The following is a 7,385-nucleotide window of genomic DNA, read 5'->3' as shown; positions in this document are numbered from 1 at the left end:
ATGGGCTTGTTTACATAGACATGAGTTTTATAGATTGGGGGACAATGGGAGGAACAAATGCCTGGGAAGATTTGGTGAAAATTTCTGCTCCATGAAAGTCAGGACAATCATAATGTGGGATGGGATAAAGTCTAGGGCATCACCAATTGGGCACCTCCAATGCCCATTTCTCTTGGGTTTCTTCTCCCCACAGCTCTGATGACAGTCACCTAATGGAGCAATGAAAGAGGCTAGTACTGCAGGAGGCAGAATCCTGTGGGTTTGTAGACAGAACTTAGGGGGCCCATAAATTTGGATGGAAAAAATTATATTTATTTTCATAACTTTTTTCAATTATGGATATGGGCAACAAAAACAATTGTTATCAGTACCTGTGACTATGTCACCAAGAGAAATCACAGATTTTAAAAATAACACGTAAAGTTATTATAGATATTAACATTTAATTACTCACTCATTCTTACTTCAAAATTATGGGAATTGCTACACCCATCCATAGATCTTGTTATTTAAAGCAATAAATTCATTAATAACAAAAAACAATAAAGAACTTGCTGAATATAAATTTGTTTTTAAAATATTTTAATAAGTTTATTTCAATACAATTGGTTTTCCTTGTAATTCTGGGTATTTTGTTTTATGCATTTAAAAATATTATTCTGAGAAGGGGTCCACAGGCTTCACCAGATTGCCAAAGGATTCCATGGCACACACACACAAAGTTAAGAACTTGGATGAGGGAAAGACCTGGGCTCATGTACACATAATTTACTTTCCTATCTCTAAGGCAAAATGGGCATAACTATCCTCATTTTCTCTTTTAAATGTACACTTCAAACTCCAGGCTGCCCTGTCATGACTTCCAAGTAATCTTGAATATCTTCTTAACCTAAACTTTACCTGCTTCGAGTACTTTTTTTTTTTTTTTTTTTTGAGACAGTCTCCCTCTGTCGCCCAGGCTGGAGTGCAGTGGGGCGATCTCGGTCGGCTCAATGCAACCTTCACCTCCCGGGTTCAAGTGATTCTCCTGCCTCAGCCTCTCGGGTAAGCTCGGATTACAGGTGTGCACCACTACGCCCAGCTAATTTTTGTATTTTTAGTAGAGATGGGATTTTGCCATGTTGGCCAGGCTGGTTTTGAACTCCTGACCTCAGGTGATCCTCTCACCTTGGCCTCCCAAAGTGCTGGAATTACAGATGTGAACCACTGTGCCAGGCCTGATTTTTTTTCTTTGGAGTGGATTTCTAGAGAAGTACCAAAGCTTCAGGAAGACCCACAGGAGTAAAAATCGTAAAAGAAAAATAATAAAGACCAGAGTCCAAGTTAACTTTCACTGATTGGCTCCATTTTGAAACCCTTGGCAATCAGCATCATTATAAAATCCAATTCAGGTTGAGCATCCTTAATCTGAAAATCCAAAACCCAAAATGCTCCAAAATTTAAAACTTTTTGAGTACTCACATGACGCCACAGTGGAAAAGTCTTAACACTTTAAAAAAAGTCTTAATAGCACTTAACACAAACATTGTTCTATGCACAAAATTAGTATCGTATTGTCTAAAATTACCTTCAGGCTATGTCTATAAGGTGTATATGAAACGTAAATAAATTTAATGTTGAGACCTGAGTCTCATCCCAAGAGACCTCATTATGTATATGCAAATAGTCCAAAATCCAAAAATATCCAAAACATGTCTAGTCCCAAGGATATTCAACCTGTATAGTACAAAAGCTATGTTAAAGAAAGATATTAAATCTATAATACCTTGGGTAGTATGTTTATATCAAAAGTGTGTTTATTTGATAAATTTAGATGTAATCCCTGGGTGTTAGCTACTTTGCAATTTATCAGGAAAAGGCTCCACTCTATAACCATGTCAGATTTGAAGCACAGGAAAAGACGGGCTCAGGCTTAGGAAGGAGGTAACTGAAGCAGAGAAAGGGAATCTTTTACTGCCTACACCCCTTTGTTATTTGTGAGCTTCCAAGGGCTCTGGGAAGGTCGTGGGGAAGCAAGGGGCCTAGAGATGGGGGACTTCGTGCTGGAAAATGGGCTGCTTGCTGGGTGGGAAGTGGGGGTGCCTGATCCTGGCGTGGGAGGTCGGGCGTGGGGGGACTTGAATGAATGCCTGGGGGTTGGACTGGGAGAATAAAGCCATGAAGGGACTGTTCTCATTAAAGAATCCATTTCCCATTTTCAGCAGTTTGCTACATTAACAAGCTGAGCCATGAAAGGATTAGATCCGCTAAGTGAGTGCCTGTTCTGTGCACCATTGCAAAACACATTTCAGAAAGCAGTGGATTCGCCTTAAATGAGTATCTGCTGGAGGAGCAAAGCCCTAGGAAAACAAAGGGGCACGCCAGGGTAAGCTAATAATTCCTGCTGTGCTTTGAGGGCAATGAAATGACTGCAACCCTGAGAACTTTTTCTCCCTCCCCTGCAGTTGGTATAAACATAAGAGCCATTTTGATGATCATATCGACACCTCAGCAACAAGTGCTTCCCAGGTGCCAACAAAATGTCACTTTCCAAAGGGTTAAATGAACCAAAAGACCTCACCCTCAAATATTCTTTTTCTGCATCCATTTAGCATGCATACCTATTAAGCAAAACAATGGGCATAGATTCATATCCTGTCTACAAATAATCGAATGATACAAGAACAAATCTACCACCAGCTGCTTTGTCCCATGCTATGCTTTGACTGGGAGGGGAAAGCCAAGTTTTGAGCTGGGTCTAGCCTGACTCAGGCCTTAACTTGTGAGTCCTGCTATTCTAACCCTTTCTCTTGATCTGCTTTTCAGCCTGTCTCAGAGCACACAGCTCAGAGCAGCAGGGAAGTTGCTTAGCAAAGGGCCACCCACTTGCCTATTATTCCTTCCTCGCCTGTGACATGACACAAGAACAAAGTAGACATTAACCGCTACATTAAACCCAGAAAGAAAGTAATCAGTAACCTGTTATTCCCTTAATAAAGGGAAACACATGCAGTGTGAAATCCAGAAGACTAATCAATAGCCGCAGACAATGCAATGTGCCAAACAAATTGCAAATCAATTAGAATCCTTGTTTTCTTTGAAATGGTTCACTATATCTAAAGCAATTACTCCTTCATTAGACCTAATTTAACAGCATGACTACCCTGGCTACAACTGGCAGCGTCTGGCTATCAAATGGAAGAATGGCAGCTTATTTCTGTCTGTCTGTGAGTCTAGCACCAATCAAGAAAAAAAATGAATTCCTTTATATGAGAGAAACTTTTAATGAATGGGTGGATATTTGTTTTAATCCAAATATCGGTACCAGAATGAGAGTTCCCTGCTCCCCCCAGGGAAGTTAAAAGAGAAAAGAACTAAAGAATTATTGAATAAAAATCTGTACTTTAAAAATGTATTTTTTTCTTCTTTCTATGGGAGTTTCAACTAGATTAAAATGGAATTTAAGTATGTAAAGTCCTTCCAGCTCTTCAAATCTAACACAGCACTTGTTACTAGTTTTTGGACTTTTGAAAAGAGAATCCTGGTTCTTATTGAATTTGGAGTATTCTTGCAAATGATCACCAAAAAAAAAGCACTAGTTCACTTATTACTAAAGCTATTTAAAAATAGTTTTATTGAGCAATGTATAATACAATCCACTCATTTTAATTGTAAATGTAGTAAATTTTGGCAAATGTATACAATCATGTAACCACCACCTTAATTGTGATGTGGAATCTTTCTGTCACCCCAGTAAATTCCCGTGCGCCCCTTTGCAGTCAATCCCCTCCCCCAGCCCTGGAGGCAACCGCGGATCTGCTTTCTGTCAGTCCATTGCACTTTTAAGAACAGTTTCCCATCCTCTGGAAGTATAGGACTAGAAAAAATAATTGAAATAAGGTTTTTCTACCAGTTTGAGAAAAATGGTTTCATTCTTGTTTGAGGCAGCAAGCAAAGAACTGAAGGAAATTACAAAGTTTTCTGAAAAGTAGATATGCTTTAAAAAAGTAAACCATTCATGGAAGCTAAAGTAAATATTTCTGAGTAAACTAAAAATTTTAATAGCCACGACTTCTTTAACTTGCTAAACTTATTTGATATTCCTACTTTCTTCTCTTTGAGGATAGTCACGGCTCTGAAGCTTTTTTTAAACTTAATTTCTCTGAACTGTTTTTTTTTTCTGACTGTAAAAACAGTACATTTTGATTATATGAAATTCTAACATTAAAGAATTACAGAAAGTAGTAAGGAAGGCTCTTATATTTCCATTCCCTCCAGTAATTTTCCAAAGTACACAAAGCTATATGCACAAGGATATTCTTTACAGCATAGTGAGAATAGAAAAAAAATGGGAAACACTAGGAGTTTGAGCCTTAAATTAAGTCACACAGGAGCCTGTTTCCCTTCCTCCTTCCTTTGCTTCCCTTAAACAGCTTTTACTCCCCTCCCCTCCCCCTAATCCTCCCTCTTCACCTCACATCAAATGGCTTTTTATTCTCTGCATCCTTTGCCTTTCTTCTTTTTTTCTTTAGAGCTCAGTGCAGAAAAATTCTTGCACTGAGGGTACCCATATGTTTTGTAGGCCAACCAACCCATTTTCCCTCTCTTCCTCAAAGTAAAATATTCTCCCAAAGCTTTCACATTCTTAACGGTAAGAATTTGTGCTACCTCATACTGCACCCCATCTTGCCCTCTTTAACCTTTCACGATTAACACTGTCACTCAGTCAAATTATTTTTTGTTTCTATTGGTTAGGCTAACACCCATAATTTACCCTTGTCAATCAATCAATTAATCAACGAGCATTCATTGAAGGCCTGCTTCCCAGTAAAACCTGATTGGCTGGTTTGGGGGGTTGATTTATAATTCTAATGAAAAATATTTGCAATGATGGAGGGTGGGATAAGGAAGTTACGAAGTTTAATCACTTTCTAAAGTGCCTTAGTTTGCAGTTGAGGCTAAGCAAAAACTGAGGTGAAGGTAAGTGACAAAGAGTGCTTCCCTCCTTTAACTCTCTCTTTGCTGACTCAAGAGTGGAAAACAGCATTATCAGGGAGGCTGCAGCTGCTCCAGTCCTAGGGCTTGGCTAAAAATGGAGTGGCCCTGGGAAGATGCTGTAACTATCAGAAGAGTATTTTTTTTAGCCTAGATAAAATATTCATAAACCTATTGCTATTTGTGCTTTTCACATTTGCATGTGTAGAGAATGTCTGTGTAAAGACACTGTTGCCTTAATTATTCTTGTGCACCTCCTCCCACTTGTCAGTAGATGAACATTTAGGCTAGGCCCAGGGGAGTTTCCACATGGTAATTAAGGAAGGGACAAGGGTTGGGCTTCGACCCTCTGACGTGGTGACCAGCAGATAATTAAAACTGAATAAATCAGCGGGCGCGGTGGCCCACGCCTGTAATCCCAGCACTTTGGGAGGCCGAGGTGGGCGGATCACGAGGTCAGGAGATCGAGACCATCCTGGCTAACACGGTGAAACCTCGTCTCTACTAAAAATACAAAAAAATTAGCCGGGCGTGGTGGCGGGCGACTGCAGTCCCAGCTACTCGGGAGGCTGAGGCAGGAGAATGGCGTGAACCCAGACGGCAGAGCTTGCAGTGAGCCGAGATCACGCCACTGCATTCCAGCCTGGGCGACAGAGTGAAACTCCGTCTCAAAAACACAAAAAACAAAAAACAAACAACAAAAAACCTGAATAAATCAACGTGAGCTCTTCCAAGGAGAGGAATGGCAAATTCTTTACTTTGTGAGGTAAGGAGACAAGGATCTTTTGGTTGTCAAGCAGTTTCCTAAGAGAGATAAATAAATTGGATTTTTTAAGTTCCCGCTAGGGAGTCTTGACAGAAAACTCTTGACTCATGGTTTTATGTCCCATTATCTTCACTAGTCAAGTCACTGCTGACAGTGTTCGAATTGTTGGCAGTCATTTAAGTGTTTTTTGCAAAGCAATGTCCTGCCCAAAGGAACTATCTGGTGGCTCTGGTCCATAGACTTCACATCATGACTGCACATGGTGTGGAAACCTGATTCTTGCTAATGCACAGATAAAAGCCATAACAGAACGGTGACGGAACAAATGAAGCCTGTCCTTTAAAGTAAGCACTGCCTTTTTGTTTGTTCTGCTATAGAAAAAAATGAATAGACGGGTCTTTTGCAAGCTTTCAGGGCACTGACTTTTTATTCCCTACCCCCACTTCTGGAAATAATCATTTTGATTATTAATTTTTTCCCTTTAATCTCTTATTGACTATTAATATGATTGTTTTATCCACCGTGGGTGAATGCTTAACTAATACAGTTCTTCATACAAATGCAAACTTCCTATTTACCAGCCTCTGGTGCTGCGTCTTGCATCAGAGTGGTATCATTCAGCTTCAGTTGCTATAGCATTTTCAAGAACCTCTCTGTTCTTGTCATAAATTATCTTTAAGTGAAAAAAGCTCAAAGGAGGTCTGCGGCAAACTGTATCAAATAATGAATTTGTAAGCGGTGGAAGAAAACACTTATCTTTCTTATACTCTTCTCCCATCGATTGTTCTGTGACCCTTCTTGGGGATACAGATGAGCATAACCCTGAAAAATGTTTGTGTTGTCTTTCTTTAACTGGCAGCCTGCGGGCTGCATGATCTAATAAATATTGGCAGGGCCAAATGAAATAATATAGAAGAGCTTCTCTTCTTTAAAGTCCACAGACCAAGAGACTCTTGTCACTTGTTAATATCTCCATCAAACACTGAAGTGTTAACATATGTGATACGACCACGCAATCAAGTAAGGACCGATTTGTTGACTAATTAAACCAACACAACAAGCTCTTTAGCACCTACAAGTGACAAGTTTAGAGCAGGCAAGTGGAAACTCTCAATTGAGCCCCCTTTTATGAGACTATCATGCCAAATTCAATTCTGACTGAGTAGTATTTGAATGTACTTGACTTCCACCATGTGCTGACATGCTTACAATAATTCATCAAGGGTGACAATAGCCCAATATTAGAGATTTATGATATATACAAAACAGTTACAAATGAAATGTAGCCCTTACATGGGTCTGCTTTCCTTACCCACTGCCTATTGATATTATAATTAATGGTCAATTACTTAGGGAAAAGAAAATAGAAAATAGTCATTACTGGTTTCAGTCATCATTGGACTTTTTTTTTTCTTTTGGCAAATTCTGGAGGTAAGTGGAACCATTTCCACAGTGTTTGGCAGTTGCTTCAAAATAATAAATGGACATTGAAACCTGGTATTCATGACTCATTTTGGCAATGAGAATGAGCTAATAATAAAATTTTAAAGGAAACTGAGGATACATTAAGTTGCCTGATAAATGGAAAAGCACTCTAAGATGTATCTTTGAGTAGATAATACATATGTGTTCTATCTCTGTGCAT

At 39.3% G+C, this 7,385-nt stretch overlaps 1 annotated feature.

The window, feature by feature from the left end:
• Positions 731-3,929: an enhancer, noted in NCBI's record as "VISTA enhancer hs1538". NCBI's record gives its function as "enhancer in: forebrain[4/4]" and the evidence as "EXISTENCE:transgenic organism evidence [ECO:0001131][PMID:17130149]".

This window comes from Homo sapiens, chromosome 14 (genome assembly GCF_000001405.40).
Source record: "Homo sapiens chromosome 14, GRCh38.p14 Primary Assembly".
In the NCBI taxonomy this organism is placed as follows: Eukaryota; Metazoa; Chordata; class Mammalia; order Primates; family Hominidae; genus Homo; species Homo sapiens.
The sequence above is the reverse complement of the archived record's forward strand: the minus strand, read 5'-3'. Positions and strand labels throughout refer to the sequence as shown.